Genomic DNA, 15,574 nt, shown 5'->3' on the forward strand with positions numbered 1-15,574 from the left:
GTGTTGGTGGCGGCCTGCCACTTCCCAGATCAGGGCACGAGAGACCCTGTGGCTTCCATGTTGGCCATGCTTCCTCTCGGGTTGCTCCCTCTGGGAAGCTGGCTGCTATGCTGTGAGCAGCCCTGTGGATGAGGACCTCAGGCCTCCTGCCTGCGGCCATGTGAGTGAGCCTGAATGGAGCTCCTCCCGCCTCAGTCCAGTCAACCCTGCAGATGAGACCACAGCCCTGCCTGACATCTTAATAACAACATAATGGGAGACCCCATCAGCGAAGCTGCTCCAGGATTCCTGACCCACAGAGCAAGACAATACAAACTTGCTATTTTAAACTGCTAAGTGTTGGGGTAATTTTGTTACACAGATATAGATAACTTAGTCTGGTTTTGTGGGATTTTTCACTTTGTTTACTGTGACCACTAGAATATTTAAAATTACTGGTGGAATTTTAATATACTCATGTATATTTCTATTAGACGGTGTTGCTCTAAATGGTTCTAAATGCAGTGACAGCATATTATAATCACAGATATCATAACTAGCCTGCCAACTATATAACTTTGCTACATATCACTAGTACATATTTCCAATTGATTTAATTTTAAAATCTGGTATCAGATTAAATATTTGTAGACAGTAAGTACCAAAAAAAGTCTTTTTTTTCTTACCGCATTTAAATTAAAAGAAAATATTATCTTTTTCTAATTATAAAAGGTTAGTAGAGAAAATAGAAAATATAGAAAAGTCCTAAGGAAAAGAAAACACAGATTTGTCAATACACCTCCCAGCAACGATCATTAAGGTTCTGGTGCTTCTTCCCTTTGGTAGCTTTTCTATTTCTGAGCATGTTTCGGATGAAATTAGGCGATAAGCATTTTTCCTATTTGGAATATGCTTCCACTCAATGACTTTGGACCGCCGTTCCCACTCAGCACCACGTCCTCCACAATACACGCAAGTGCTGCCCGCGGTTTGTTGCCTGGTGTTACCGTCCCAACGCAGAAGGCCTCCTGCAGGAACCCTGCATCATGCCTGGGGCCCCAGCACACTCCGCGGAGGCAGGGCTGGAGTCACCGGGAGTTGAGGGTGCCGGAGGCCTGGCCCACCCGCAGCCCCGCACCGCGCCTCACCTTGATGTGCTCGTGGAGCTGCGCCTCGTGCTGCCGGGAGAGCTGCTCGTGCTGCCTCTGGAACTCAGCGATGAGGATCTGCCTCTGGATCTGCTGCTTCTGCTTGAGCGCCAGGAGCTCCTGCTGCAGCTGCTGCTCCCGCAGGGCCGGCTCTGCCACAGGCAGTGAGAACTGGTGGTCCAGGCGCAGGTCCATGGGCACTGCCGAGGGGGCCACTTGCAGAGGCAGCGCCGTGGCCACATCCACTGTGGGAAAAACAAGCAGGAGAGCCGGTCACTGCCGCCCTTTGCTGTCCCTGGGCCCCAGAGCCCCCACCCAACACACTGGCCACCTTCACGGGGCGGGGGGGGGGTTGTGACCATTTGAGGATTGGATACCCCTCTCCCCCTGTCCCCCTCTTGCCCAACAAACTCAAAATGCAAGACTCAGAGGCCTCTGGGGCCCATTCCTCAAGGGCAAAAACCACAAAAGCCCATGGGAGGTCAGGCCAGGACGCACTCCACAATCCCTGTTCCTTCCTCCACCCTCCCCGGGAGGCCGGCTCTCAGAGGACCCCGCTACAGGCCCAGAGGCCTTGCTGACGTCATTTCTAGAGGCCAATAATGAGAAAAATAAAGAAAAAGGTTGTGGCTGTTCAAGGAAAAGCGCGGGCGCCAGGTCTCAGCCAGGAAGACTGCCTGTCCTGCTCCTCTTCCTCCTCTTCCATCGAAGTCACCGTGCCGCTGTGAGAGCCACAAGAGCGTGTGCCCCAGAAGTGGTCCAGACAGACGCTCGAGACCCGGAGCCCGTTTCCATGGTGAGACAAGCGCCCCCTTGGAAAACATGTTTACCAGACACAGCCAACGAGACGTGCTCCTGGCTCTTGGCACAAGTGCGTTCCTCTGGGCATGCGTTTCTGCACCTCGCGAAGAAATGGATTTTCTGCCCTGTACTAATGTGCTATTGAGAAAAGGCTACAAGTAATTTTGATGAGGAACAGAAGCTGAATCAATTTCATTCCTTACAATCAATACCAAATGAAAGTGAGAAAAGTAACACAGGAAGAAGGGTAGGTTTAAATTACAGATATCACAAACAGCCCGACCTGCGCACCCCTTTTACGGCAGGTCCCTATTCTGAAAGCATGCAGTGTGTGCAGGCACTCACTCTGAGCCAGCACTGCTCCTGGCACAGCCCAGGGACATCCCAGCGTCACTTCTCAGACACGCGACTCTGCCGAAAACTTCACTGAGAGTCCAAGTGAGAGCCCAGCCTGCCTGCTCCCCTCCCACAGGCCCACCCCTCAGAAAGCTCCCCATAACCAACACTCATGTGACCTGGGCCAAGTGGGGAGGTGGGGCCTTGCCCTCTAGGAGGGTCTCAAGCTCAGAGGGGTGTCTGGGCCAACAAGAGGGCTGCTGAGAAAACAGCTCCTCGCCCCTCAGGGTCAGCACCTTTGGGCGTGACCTTGTCCAGGTGCATCCCTGAGAGCAGCCCACCCACGTTCACCCTGACACTCAGCCCGTCTCTGGACTGGCTTAAGACCAGGCCTTGTCAGCAACTCAGTTCCTAGGAAAACCTGCACTCCACAGTCTCAAAGCCACCGATTTGGGTGAAACAGCCCATAGGTGGCAGCTGCCCCTGGGTGCAAAGCATTTCCACAGTCACTGCCCAGGCAGCAGGTCCCACACTGGCTTTGTCTCCAAACCACTGGAGGTCCTGGTCCCAGGACTCAGCCTTCTCCTGAGAAAAGGGTGGGAAATGCTTTGGGGGAGGCCTGGGCACTGGCCGGAGCTTGGGGTTCTGATCCCTGGGTTGCCGCTTAGCCGTGGGAGCTGCAGTCACCTGAGCTCCTGGTGCCCAGGGTGAGGGGTGCTCTCAGCTTCTCTGGCTGACTTCACTGTCTCCTCACCCCTCCCCTGCCCCACCGCAGTCAATCATGCTCCTAACCTGGCCCTGCTGGCTGCCCTGGCTGGACTGGCTTGAACCTGAGGAGTGCCCAGGCCTCAGGCCACGAAGACCAGCTCAGGCCACTTTCCTGGACAGTGAAAAGACACAAAGCAACCCAGAAGGTGACAGAAGCTTCTGAATATATCTGATCACATTCCACAGCGCAGCACGGGCTGCCTCGTTGTTATTGTTGTTTTTTAAATGAAATCCTCCTCTCTGACTGTTTCTGTTTCTTTCCCCAAATCAGTGAAGTGCAACCCCCAACTTTTAAAATGCATGTATTTAGTTTTTAATTGGGTGTCGACTTTGACACAGTAAAAGGTTTTCATTTGCTATTATGTGAGAAGAATCTACGCACATAAACTGCGTGTTCAATGTGCGGAAGCAGGGAGTAGGGGTCCGCCCACCCCCCACCCCGCACATGGGTGAGGACTGTTCCATGTGCAGGAGCAGAAAGCAGGGGTCCACCCACCCCCCACCCCACACATAGGTGAGGACTGTTCCATGTGCAGGAGCAGAAAGCAGGGGTCCACCCACTCCCCCACCCCATATGTGGGTGAGGACTGGACCCTATTCATTTCCTTTCTTCCCTTTTCTGATCATTTTTATGACAAAATATAGCAAAATGGAAAAACTGCGTAAGCAATGCTGGTTTTATGAAACATCAGCGTTCACCTACATTTGCTTCAGACTTTCTTTTAAGGAATAAAATATATGAAAGGCAGGGAGGAGAGCTAAGTCAGCAAACTCGCAAACTCGGAGAAAAGAGAACGGGGCCTGGCTTCTTGAAGAAGACTCAGCTGGCGGGCTCCCTGCTGTGGGCACTGGGGGCTACGGGTCCGGCTCTCACAAGCACGGCGGTGCTAAATGCTTTCCTGAACACACAGTCTCGTGAATGACTGTCAGGTTGCGGTTCCCTCTTCCGCGTTCATGGCTGTGATTGGCACGCGGTTCTCCTGGGACCAGTGCCCTGCAGTGACTTCCTAGAGTGCCTCAGGTGAGCGGGCCCGTGCTTTCCAGGGATAAACACAACTTTGTTCTTCTAAGTTACACAGTCAGCACCCATGGGTGAACCCATCGGGGAAGGCATACACTTGTATAATGTAGAAGAACAAAGTTGCATTTATCTCCAGGAAGGGATAAAGTTAGAAAAACAAAATAGCATCAACAACGACCATGTTATTTAGAATGCTGGTGTCTATATTTGTAGGTGAAACTGGTCTCTCTCATATTCTTTCTGTTTGGTCAAACAGAGACATTTTAGCTTGAACAAATAAGCACAGGGAATAAGTAACTGCACAGCGTTGCATCTTGGAAGCTGGGTTATTGCCTACGTCTCGCCTCATTTATCCCTGTGTGGGGGGCCTGGGTGGGACCCCTGCTTATAAGATGTGCTGCTGTCACCCAAGGTCCCATGTAGAAACAGGGTCCCACCACAGGCGCTGGGCAGAGGCCTGACCCGCTGCTGGCTTTAGCGCATCCCCCTCCATTTCTAATTTCTCACAGATGGAGGGAGGGGGCAGCATTGTAAACGTCTGGTGTTAATCTCTTTAAAAACCGAACATAAAACAACTTTTAAGGGATTTTTTTTATTAACTTCAAAAACATGACATGCCCGCATTTCCACTCCTCATTCAGTTCCCAAAGAACATTCATGGCTCCTGCTGTGTGCCAGGTGCTGTGGGAACGGGCCCAGGGCAGCCGCTGGGGCGCCGAGGAGCACAGGAGCTGATGGCAGGCCCAGGGGAAGGGCCCACAGTGGGCTGCGTCTCACCGAGGGCAGGGGCTGCCTGAGCAAGGACCCAGAGGTCTGGGTGCAGGTGGAGGGTCATGGGGACGGGGGAGCCCAGAGACCAGCCTGCCATCTGCAATCCTAGAGTGTCACTCAGGCTTGGGGCCGGGAGAGCAGCCAAGAGCGCGAGGGGAAGCAGCAGCAACTCTGGTGCTGGGGAGGACCCAGCTTCTCAGGACAAAGTGGGGAAGGCGGGGCAGGCTCTGCACACCCAAGGTTGGCTGGCCGAGTGGAATTTTCTTTCTTCAAACTTTTCTCAGATTCCCCTGAATCTGGAATCACAGGACATCTTAAAAGGAAACCCAAGTTCATGTTTGCTCCAAAGCATCTAATAGAGATGACACTAACATGATCTTGATGCAAATGCCACCGAAGCTATTTCATCAGGGTCAGAGGCAAAATTCAGTGTACTGAAATTCCCATCACAACGCAGGCACCTGGCCAGATCTGAGCCCGGGGTGGTCAATGCTGATGTGGGCCAAGGGCCCCCACCACCTGGGAGTTTTCAGAAATGGAAAATGATCACAAGGTTCCTCACAGGGATGCCGGCCAGCATTCATCATTGAGCGTGGAGGAGATGCGCTCACTTGGATGCCAAGGAGGACAGGCAGCGCCCTCTGAAGGTAAGAATTGCTCCCTGGATGTAGCCTCATCTGGATAACCTACACAACTCATCTTTCCATCCAGTCTACTCAAGAGCTATTAATGCTTTAATTCCTAAGGCATTCATTCTTTAATCTGTTCCTTAAGCTGTTTTCTTGGAGATTTGTACAAGTTCTGCAAATTAATTCAAATTTCATCTTAAAAGGAATTTGTCAACTGGACTGAGAGACAATCAAAACAGTCAGACACGGAACATGCTGAGCGCCACGCTGCTGCCGGGGAATTCTCTTCTGAAGCTTGGGTGACGCTCCTGCCCGCCTCACAGGCACACAGCTGAACCTCCTGTGCGTGCATCACCTGAACGGTCACAGCTCGACCCAAGTCTGCTCTTAAATTCCACCACCTGTGAAACAGCCAGCGAGCAGCCTGGCCCAGCACTCCCCACTCCCAAAAGACAGGACCCTATGGGGGAAGAAACTGCTGCCCAAATCTTCTGAATGTCGCTTACAAACTCCTTTTTCTGCTAAAACCTTCCATTCTGTGACAGCACAGAGAGGATGATGCAGACTGCAGCTGGGAAGCTGCTTCCTACTCCTCCAGGCCCCTGCTGGGTCACCCTAGAGCTGCCAAGGCCAGCAACTGAGGAGGAGGAGGGCAGGCAGGCAGGGCTCCTTCCAGCCACTCCAGCTTCTCCAGCAGTTTAGCGCATGCTGGAAGGTGCTGGCGCTGATCCGCCCCTGGCAGTGCTGGTGAGAGAGGCAAGTTACTCCTCGCAGATCTGTGTCTCCAGCTCGGTGCGCGTCTCCCTACGGACATGGAAGAGTGCGGGTCCCCTGAGGAGCAGGGAGGCGAGGGGCCCTGCAGAGCAGCCACCTTCTGCTGAGAAGGAGCCTGGACTCACTGGCACAGTGCAGCCAGAGGGGGCTTCGGTGGGCACCGAGGCTGGGGAGTCGGGCTCACCAATGCGCAGAATGCTGTCGCTGTTCTCACTACGGCACCTCCTGCATTTTCACTCATTGTGGGGAAGGGATGTTCACACTGCCTTGGTTTACCGGACTGCCACGTGAAACTCCACTATCTGCTAAAGTAAGCTAAGAGCAGAGCAGAGAAAATCAACAGCAGCACACGCCGCCTGCATCCCATGCGCACCTCCGGCCACGGCCATTGCTCACCTCTGAAGACAATGCTGCATTTATGTTGGATTCAATAACACAAATGGAGCGTTCACAGGGCAAGGAGACCCACCCCAGGGCTCCTGAGGGCTTCCTAATGAGGATCCTGGGAGCCGGGTGGGTGGGGATGAGGCCCAAGCTGTCCCAGGCCCGGCCCCACACACCAGCTGCAGAGATGAGAACCACAATCGCATTCACGCATTCGTGCGCCTACGGCTGTGTCAGACGTGACTTGTGCTATTTCTGTATCAAAAACCATTCAAAATGCCACGAGTTCCCAACAGAAGCTGCTAGTGCTTTTGACCCAAAGCACCCTGAAGAAAACAATAAAACCTTCTCTCCTTAAAGAATGCAGCATCAAAACAAAAAAGTCTGTATTCTCATGAATATTCTACGGTACAGCAGAAAACGGCTTTTATAGGTTGTGCCTTGAGAAACATATTAAGACAATCAGACTCCTGACGTCAGTGAGAGCACAAAGGCCGCATTCAGAGTCCAATGGGAGACGGTCAGTGTGCTGTGAATGAATTCTCAATCACAAACAGAAAAACCTGTTAGTCTCTCTCTCTCGCTCTTTTAAAATAAATGTTCATAAAGAAGCATACTGATTTTCCACGACATGCTTAGGTCCTCTTCTCAGGACGCGATTTCATGCCATCATACAGATATGGAAGAAAAAGAGGCACTATTCTTTAGGTAACACAGTCAATGTTTAGGGTCTCTTCAAGTAAAGAATGACTCATTCAAATCAAGGGAAAAATAATAGATATTTCAACTATGTAACCATGATTTCCTCTTACACTGATATTTTGCCTCTATGTGGGGGTGGGGGGAAGAGAGAGGATGGGACAGAAGAGGAGGGAGACAGCACATCAGAAATGCATGACTTAGCTACAATGTCCTTCACCCTTTATTTATTGTGCAGTGTGCCATCCATGCTGAAGAACAAGTATGTTTAGTAAAAGAACAGTAATGAAACCAGCACCAGTGCATCCTCCGCTTCAATGAGGCCCAAACGTCACCCTCTGCGTCCCTTCAAACCACATGCACCCCCTACCCCGTGAGCAACATCCTGACCTTGTTAAGTGTCCTCTTGCTTTGCTATGATAATAACATCTGCATATATGTGGCCCTGAAAACACGTCCTTTGCTTTCTGAAGACTGAAGGCAGCAACACCAGTGCAGTGGAAGGAGGAGTTGACGATGGTTCCCGGGACAGGACAGTCTCGAGTCCGAGTCTGCCGTCAGCTTCTGGGACAGGGGACCAGAGCTTCTTCTGGGGTGAAGCCACGGGTGACCCCCAGGAAACCAAGTACACCCCGTCTAACATCTGGCAGGGCAGTCATGTGGACCAGAACCAGGTGCCAGAAGGTGTGGTCTGGGGGGTGAGCTGCCCTCCATGGTGGCCACCTCCAGCTCTCAGGTGGGAACTGGGCAGAAGACCCCCTTGGAGAAATGAGTGACCTCGGGGAATCGAGGCAGTGGGGCAAGGAAGAGAGAGTGGGGCCATGTGGTCAACAGAGGTCAGGCACAGACAAGCGGCTGAGTGTTGCATCCTCAGGTTTAGGCAGCGAGGCAGGCAGTCTGGTGAGGCCGGCCCAGACGCTGCCTCCGAAGCTGTGCCACTCACCCCGGGCAGGCGCTCCCTCTGTCTGCACTGCTGCTGGCCTGGACGGGTCCAACTCCTCCAGGGGATTCCCTCTGTCTCTGCCCTACCTTAAGTCTCCCGCTTCCTTTGTCCCAGCCATCGTCTTCCTTGGTTTATTTTCTCACTCTGCAGAACTCAGGCTCCAGCTGTGTCTTAAAAAGGGAGGCATGAGAGTAAGTTCTGCACATCTGAAAACGTGTCGATTCTCCCCTTCACGCGTCCTGACTTTGGCTGGGTATAGAATTCCAGCTTGAAGACCATCCTTCGCCTTCGGGATTCTGAAGGCGCAACTCTGTTGTCTTCCTCTCCCAGTACTGTCAGGAAAATGGGCGCCACGTGATGCTGCACCTTGAGTGTGACTCGATGTCTCTCTCCGGGTATCTATAAGGTCTTCTCCAGGCCCCCAGCGTTCCGAAATTTCGAAGCCGTGTGGTTTGGTGAAGACCTTTCACACCCACTGCTGGGCGCCTGGCTGGTCCTTTGGAGACGGCAGCTCCCGTGCTCCCATCGTAGGGGGCTCCCTGAAGCACTTCATCAAGGGTTCCCCTTTCCCATTCTCTCCTTCTGGAACTTCTACCCCTTGAGTAGGAGATCTCCCAGAACAATACTGGGTCTTTTCCATCCTCCCTGTTTTCCTTGTCTTTGTCTTACACGCTTCTTCATGTGTGATTTCCTTAAATGTATATTCTAACCTTTTAAATGAGGTTTCATGATTTTTGCTATTTTGTTTCTAACTGACAAATAAAACAGCCATTTTCAGAGGACAATGGACCCTGGATATTCTTTTTTTAAAATGTCATCCTGTTCATATTTCCTAGATAAAATATCTTGTCTAGTCTCTGAAGATAGTAATGATAGCTCACTAAAAGTTTGTGTGTGTGTGTGTGTGTGTGTGTGTGTGTGTGTGCTGAGTGTCACCCAGGCTGGACTGCAGTGGTGCGATCTTGGCTCAATACAACCTCCACCTCCCGGATTCAAATGATTCTCATGCCTTGCCTCCCGAGTAGCTGGGATTACAGGTGTGCACCACCATGCCCAGCTAATTTCTCTCCCTTCCTCCCTTCCTTCCATGTTGGCCAGGCTGGTCTCAAACTCCTGACCTCAGGTGATCCTCTCGCTGTGGCCTCCCAAAGTGCTGGGATTACAGGCCTGAGCCACCAAGCCTGGTGACAAGTTTTCTTTTCCCTGTGGAGTCTCTGTTTGCTCTCCACCGTCCCTGCAAAAGCCTCCCCTCAGGTGCCTGGTTGCCCCTGGTTATGTGTTGCCGAGTGTGAGTGGAGGCACGAAAACCACCTGCCAACTGTGGGCACAGTCTGGTTCTCAATGCCAGGCTTCATGGAGGGTGACTGGAGGTGGCATCATCAGGAACCCCCTGGCTCAGTGCCCAGAGAACCTTCCCCTAGGGCTGGCCTACTGTCCACGAGAGGCGCCTCTCCATCCTGGGACTAGAGGGTGAGAGCTGGGCCTTCAGTGTACCAAGGGAGGGACCCCCTACTCAGTGTTTGCTGTGGACACAGTGACTAGCCCCCCGTTCTTGCTGCAGTACCCACATCCTCAGCTTGCTCCTGTCCCCATGCAGAGGCGCTCAGGATCATAGTCGCTGGAGAGCACCCCTTTGTGGCAGCGCAGCTTCCATCTGGTGAGTTCTCAGTGCTCCTCGTGGTTGGCTGAGATCTGTTTTTTGGGTCTGCTGAATCGCTGTGACTCTGTCACCTGCTGTCAGTTGCCAGGCTCTCATTCGTGTCGCCCCTCTTCTGTTCTCCCCATCTTTGTGAGCTTATGACCTTTCTCTGGAATATATATTTTTATCTTTCATGAGAAATTCCAAAAATACACAAAAGCATGAAGAATAGTGTAATCAAGCCGATCTCAGGTCCTCTGCTCATCCACCACTTCCCCACCTTCTAGATGACAGGGAAGCAGGCCCCAGTCGTCACTGCGAAGACTTCCAAATCAAATGCCATCAACACACGCAAATAAATGGACAAGTCTGTAATATTATGAAGTAGCCAGAAAGTGTCCCCATAGTTTCATAAACACTTTTAAATATTTTGTTCAAATCACGATCCAAATACATTGTAATTAGCTGATGTATCTTTTAAGACCCCTTCCCCTGACCTCCTGCTTCCTGCCCCCCACCACCCCCACCCCGATAATTTATTAGCTGAAGACATCGGGTCATCTGCACTTTGCTGATTACACCCTGGTGCTGACGAGCAAGGCTCTGTCCCCCGTTCTTCTGAAAGCTGGGTGCTCACCGAGAGGCCTGGTCAGAGGCAGCTTAGACTTCCCAGCAAGGCCTAAGGCGAACCCCTGCTCTCTGGGTGGCTTTTTTGTGTTGCGAAGGCTCAAAATGATCACTGACTAGATTCTCTCATCAGGGTTAAAAACAGAGCTCTTCGAGTCCCATCAGCCCCTCTCCATGTGTTAGCAGGACCATTTCTATAACGGGAAGGAATCCAAGATCAACTATCTTGTTACTCTCACAAACAGCGCTTATGAGAAAGGCAGTGTCATGCTTGATTCTCTTCCTCGGTTTGCCCATGTCTGAAAATCCTGAGTGGGTCTCGTGGCAGCCTCCAAACTCGAGCAGTGAGGAGGGTGTGTTTTCCGGTCACTGTTTACGAATGCTCACAGTCCTGTCCTTGACGAGCAGGAGCCCCGTGGTTGGATCGGGCGGCCCTCCAGACCCTGTGAGTGCTCTCTGAGAGCAGCGCCCTGTTCTGCTACCAGATGCTTTGGGGTCTTCCTGTACATTTCTTTTTTTTTTTTTTTGAGATGGAGTCTCGCTCTGTCACCCAGGCTGGAGTGCAGTGGCACGATCTTGGCTCACTGCAAGCTCCGCCTCCCGGGCTCACGCCATTCTCCTGCCTCAGCCTTCCGAGTAGCTGGGACTACTACAGACGCCAGCCACCACACCCGGCTAATTTTTTTGATTTTTTCAGTAGAGGCGGGGTTTCACCGTGTTGGCCAGGATGGTCTCGATCTCCTGACCTCATGATCCATCTGCCTCGGCCTCCCAAAGTGCTGGGATTACAGGCGTGAGCCACCGCGCCCAGCCCTCTTCCTGTACATTTCTTGACCCCTGTGTGGGTCCCTTTCTTGGGAAATAGTCTTAGAGACCACAGTCTGGAGACTGGGGTAAGCGCTGTTATTGGGTTGGGACTTACGAACTATCGATCTTTACTGGCGTTTTTGTGAATTTCCTGAGGGACGGACATGCGTGTTTGACCTGCCATCCCTCCTCAGAGCTATGGAGAGCACCTCGCGCTGAAGCTGACATTCAAACGCCTGAACGGTCATAACTGAGACCCATTCCAAACGCTGACTTACATGTGATGTCATTTTCCCCCAGTGTTCTTAACTGAATTGCAACTGTTGTATTTACCATGGTGGGGAGGGGCACGCACGCAAAGTAGAGACGAGGTAGAGAAAGTAGAAGTATTCTTTAAGGTAAAGATATAAAAATATTCTGTAGATAACATGTAACTTAAGTGGCCCTACCTTGGAGCTTCGTATGTAGGTGAGTTTTTATATGCCACTTCTGTTTCTCTCATTTAGATGGATATATGCAATGCCAAAGACAAAAGCTTATGTTAACAATCACTGTAAGTTAAATTATGCTTGAAAAATAAGAATAAAAAATATTATGGTGCAAGAAGAAGGTGCTTTGTATTGCTTTCCATTGAAATCAAAATGTAAAGAAATAAATGCAAAGAGAAGATACAGTGGTATTTATGGATGTGCACAGGGGAGGCTTTCTCTGTGTGGGGCTGGGCGGGAGAGAGACGCGTCACAGGCAGATTGCATTCGACGCCGTGCTCGGAGTGGCGTTCTCGGTGCAGAGTTCTAGCATGAAGGCAGCTGCAGCACATGGCCAGGCCTGGATGGCACTGCGCTTTAGCCTTCTAGAAAAGAAGGGAGGTGGAGCTCTTCAGGCTCCCTGAGAACTGCAGCAGAGGAGACTGCTCGCTCGAGCAGGAGGTGGGAGAGGGCCCACACAGGAAACTTCCCCTGCCTCCTTGTCCTCTTCACTACCGGGGAATCACAGGGCCTGGGGTGAACTCTGGCCCACGGCCTTTAGTGCTGATGTATTAATTCATTTAAGGGACACCCCGCTTGACAGGTGTGGGAAACTGATGTACAGACAGTTTTAAGTGACTTGCCCAGGGCCACACACTAGTGCACAGCAAACCAGAACCCTGGCATCCTAACCTGGCTGAACAGTGAGAGGAGGCTGGTCTTGCTGGAAACATCAGGGGCTGAAGGAGTGTTATGGGGAGCTCACAGGTCACCCAGGGGGGTGCCTCAGGCTGGGTGTGGTCAGCAACACAGGGATTTGGGAGCAATGAGAGGGCCTGGGTCCTAACCTGCCGTAGAGACCCAAGCATCCCTGAGGCCTCAGAACTTCTGCTCCGGAGTCGATGGTCTTCCAAAGCCAGCACTGGGGGCCTGCCCGACCCCTCGGCCTGCTCTGTGTGGCTTGGGCTTTGGTTTCATTCCTGACCAAAGGCCAGGCCCCCCTGTAATTACTATTTGCTGAGAGCCTACAGCCCACAGCTCTCCGTGAATAAAGTCACTTTTTCCTAAAAAGCTCCTGGGGCTGTGGCAGCAACCTAGATCTGCTCCCACAAAGCTGCTCAAGGCCGAGACAACAGCCCCAGAGGCACAGCCAGGCCCCACCTCCCTTCTCAACAGCACCAGAAAAACAGGTGACGAGAGGGGAAGCCCGGCCAAGCCCAGCCTGCTGAGCACAGAGATGGAAACGACACATTCCTGAAACAGTATTTTCACTGCTAAAAATAAAAAGCTACAATTAATACCAGGTGTGCATTTTACTCCACTGTCTTTTTGTTTTTGTTTTTATGTAAATCGGCTTTCACTTGCACCAAACTCAAAGCACCTTCCAAATCTACGTTTTCAAACTGCTTTCTTACTGGCAGAAAAAAAGTCTAAGTAGATGCATGCATAATAAGGTATGAACTCAGCCCAAATCTGTGCCACTGAGAAGGGTGGTCCCTGCAGTTGGCAGGATCTTTCCCCAGCCTCCACCCCCCTGCAGGCATCTCCAGCATCCCAGGGCTTCTCCGGGTCTGCTGGACCCGAGAACATTCTGATGGAGAAGGCGAGCGGGTGCTGCTGGAGGGCTGGCTGTCTCCATGCCCTCACCTCATCCACGAACCTTGGAACCAGCCTGAGGGGACACTGGCGTAAGATGGGGACTACCTATAGTAGGAAGCTCTGCAGTCTCCAGTACCAGACTGCAGGATGGTATTTGTCAGGAAAGCCTAATGAGAGTAATCTCCACCCAGAATCTCCTTTTAGGTTGTCTCACAGGACACTCAGATAGAAAGACCTGGTCTCTCCAAATTTCCAGTGTGGACTTAAGACACGAGAAGAAACAGGTAACACCTGGAGACAGGCAAAGTGGGGCAGTGGACGGGGCGTAGACTTGGGTGGGGTGTGAGTTCAGACCCAGCGGGGTGACTCTGGAGAAGGTACCCTGGCCTCCATCTATCGGGGCGACAGCAGGATGTCTGCTTGTTGCAGGGCAACCGGAGCTCTGGGAGAAGGGCTGGCATGGGTGTGGCTGGTATTCAACACAGGACTCTGGGAGAAGGGCTGGCATGGGTGTGGCTGGTCTTCATCACAGGGACAGGATGCACCCTCCACGCGGGAGGGGCGGTGGCAGGGCCATGCAACATGGAGAATCACCGTCCAGGAGAGACAAGGCAAGGCTTCCTCGATGGAGCTGTACCCCCTGACCTCATGAGCTCCACACACTTCTGGGACAAAACAGCAGGCCCAGAAAAAGCTTTTCATCACCCAGGGTGATAAACCCAGTGATCAGGATGCCACGAGTGTGTCCAGGAGGGCGCAGGGCTGCAGGTTTTGGCATGTCCTGTTAGTTGAGCACCAGGAAGGCAAAGAGCATTGACAAGAAAGGAAGGGCCTGTCCACGCCGCCTGAGCAGCAGCAGACTGATCGCCGCACCTGGATGTAGGCTACGGGGTGCAGCACAGCCCAGGCAGCAAGCCCAGACTCCTGGGTGCTGGCAGCGCTGAGTGGAGCCTCAGCCCTACAGGCACACAGCCCTGCAGGGCTCCTGTGCCATAGGGTGGCAGGCAGAAGCTACCGCGAAAAGGCCAAGGGCCTGACCTGTCCACTGGTCCAGCAAGAGAGCGGGAAACACCAAGGGGAAGAGCTCAGTAAGCCCAGTGTGGATGCCTAGCCCTGGAGACTCCAAACCCCCAGCAAGTGGGTGCCCACCCAGCACAGACAAGGTGGACACAGGTGCACCTGGGAAGAATCCTCCCTGTCCCTTTTTAATAATAGAATTATTCTAGCAAAATCAGTGTCAGCTTCACACACGAGTCAAGGATAAAAATACGTTTGACCGTGCTCAGATTTAGAAAATTCCATTTTTTACTCTAACTAGAAGCCAAGAAGGCTCATTGGAAAATACAAAAATTACACTTTCAGGATATAAGAAAGAAACCAAAGGACCTGCCTTTCCCTCCCTCCAGGATCACTAACCAGTATGAGTCCTGTGGTCTCGAAGCTGAACCGCTTTAACTGAAACAGACTTGGGTTCTAAAACATGCATGAACTGAACGTCCACGGTCTGACTGTCTTCTGTAAAAGGAGGGTGTGGTGACTGCCGTGGTGACTGCCAAGGCGACCACAGACAGTTGCCCATCCCTGACCCATAGTCCAGTAGGGAAAGACTTCACTGCAGCCTCCATCCCTCACCCCCAGCCCTGGCTGGGGATTCCTCAGTCTGCAAAACCTTCTGTATGCAAAGCAGTGGAGATGAGGGACTGCGAGGTACTAACACAGACACGACACTAAAATGGAATTATCAGCTTCAATGGATTCGAGTAGGACTCAGAAACACTCCCGCTTCATAAGGCACCAAGAAAATAGGAGCTGATTTGTTCTCCACTGAAGAGGGAGAAAGAAACACTGGCTTTCATTTCCTCAGCGCCCTTCCCACAGCTCCTGGTTAGGAGTCCGGGTCCAATGCATCCATCGAGCTCTCTCTCTTCCAAGGGAAATAAAAAGCTCTTCATAGTGTAGGAGAATGAAGGGAAGAGAATTCGAACAATGAAGCAGATTCTGGTAAACCTCATATTCCTGTGTAAAGCAGGAGTCCTCATTTCTAAGCATCTAGCCTGGCGGCTTCTGTGAACCTGTGAGCTCCTCTCTGCGCAGGGCATCCTGCTGGCCGGCCGTGTCCCGGCGTCCCCATGCTGTGCAGGTGTAGTGACTGCAGATAGACAGCCGACCACAATGCTGACCA

General features: G+C 52.0%; 1 protein-coding gene and 1 long non-coding RNA gene across 51 annotated transcripts in view, besides 5 other annotated features; one reads left to right on the top strand and one right to left on the bottom strand.

The window, feature by feature from the left end:
• HDAC4 (histone deacetylase 4) overlaps positions 1–15,574 on the bottom strand; it is a 353,482-nt gene that overhangs the window by 140,538 nt on the left and 197,370 nt on the right. For 46 of the 50 annotated variants that reach the window (XM_047446489.1, XM_047446486.1, XM_047446483.1 and 43 more), the window contains one exon: positions 1,128–1,372. In XM_047446489.1, coding sequence (XP_047302445.1) covers positions 1,128–1,372 — 245 coding nt within the window. Of the gene's footprint in view, positions 1–1,127; positions 1,373–4,629; positions 10,062–15,574 lie in introns of those variants that run through there. The other 4 variants (NR_198957.1, NR_198958.1, NR_026664.2 and 1 more) reach the window with 4 other exon arrangements.
• Positions 755–1,272: an enhancer, noted in NCBI's record as "H3K27ac-H3K4me1 hESC enhancer chr2:240111156-240111673 (GRCh37/hg19 assembly coordinates)". NCBI's record gives its function as "activates a minimal SCP1, AML or CMV promoter by ChIP-STARR-seq in naive H9 embryonic stem cells {active_cell/tissue: H9 hESC(naive)}" and the evidence as "EXISTENCE:reporter gene assay evidence [ECO:0000049][PMID:30033119]".
• Positions 1,273–1,789: an enhancer, noted in NCBI's record as "H3K27ac-H3K4me1 hESC enhancer chr2:240111674-240112190 (GRCh37/hg19 assembly coordinates)". NCBI's record gives its function as "activates a minimal SCP1, AML or CMV promoter by ChIP-STARR-seq in primed H9 embryonic stem cells {active_cell/tissue: H9 hESC(primed)}" and the evidence as "EXISTENCE:reporter gene assay evidence [ECO:0000049][PMID:30033119]".
• Positions 2,119–2,717: an enhancer, noted in NCBI's record as "H3K27ac-H3K4me1 hESC enhancer chr2:240112520-240113118 (GRCh37/hg19 assembly coordinates)". NCBI's record gives its function as "activates a minimal SCP1, AML or CMV promoter by ChIP-STARR-seq in primed H9 embryonic stem cells {active_cell/tissue: H9 hESC(primed)}" and the evidence as "EXISTENCE:reporter gene assay evidence [ECO:0000049][PMID:30033119]".
• HDAC4-AS2 (HDAC4 antisense RNA 2) lies at positions 4,940–9,035 on the top strand. The gene is made up of 2 exons (NR_198956.1): positions 4,940–5,471; positions 5,657–9,035. It is a non-coding gene; the product is annotated as an HDAC4 antisense RNA 2 (long non-coding RNA).
• Positions 7,545–8,045: an enhancer, noted in NCBI's record as "H3K4me1 hESC enhancer chr2:240117946-240118446 (GRCh37/hg19 assembly coordinates)". NCBI's record gives its function as "activates a minimal SCP1, AML or CMV promoter by ChIP-STARR-seq in primed H9 embryonic stem cells {active_cell/tissue: H9 hESC(primed)}" and the evidence as "EXISTENCE:reporter gene assay evidence [ECO:0000049][PMID:30033119]".
• Positions 12,621–13,187: an enhancer, noted in NCBI's record as "H3K27ac-H3K4me1 hESC enhancer chr2:240123022-240123588 (GRCh37/hg19 assembly coordinates)". NCBI's record gives its function as "activates a minimal SCP1, AML or CMV promoter by ChIP-STARR-seq in primed H9 embryonic stem cells {active_cell/tissue: H9 hESC(primed)}" and the evidence as "EXISTENCE:reporter gene assay evidence [ECO:0000049][PMID:30033119]".

This window comes from Homo sapiens, chromosome 2 (genome assembly GCF_000001405.40).
Source record: "Homo sapiens chromosome 2, GRCh38.p14 Primary Assembly".
NCBI lineage: Eukaryota > Metazoa > Chordata > Mammalia > Primates > Hominidae > Homo > Homo sapiens.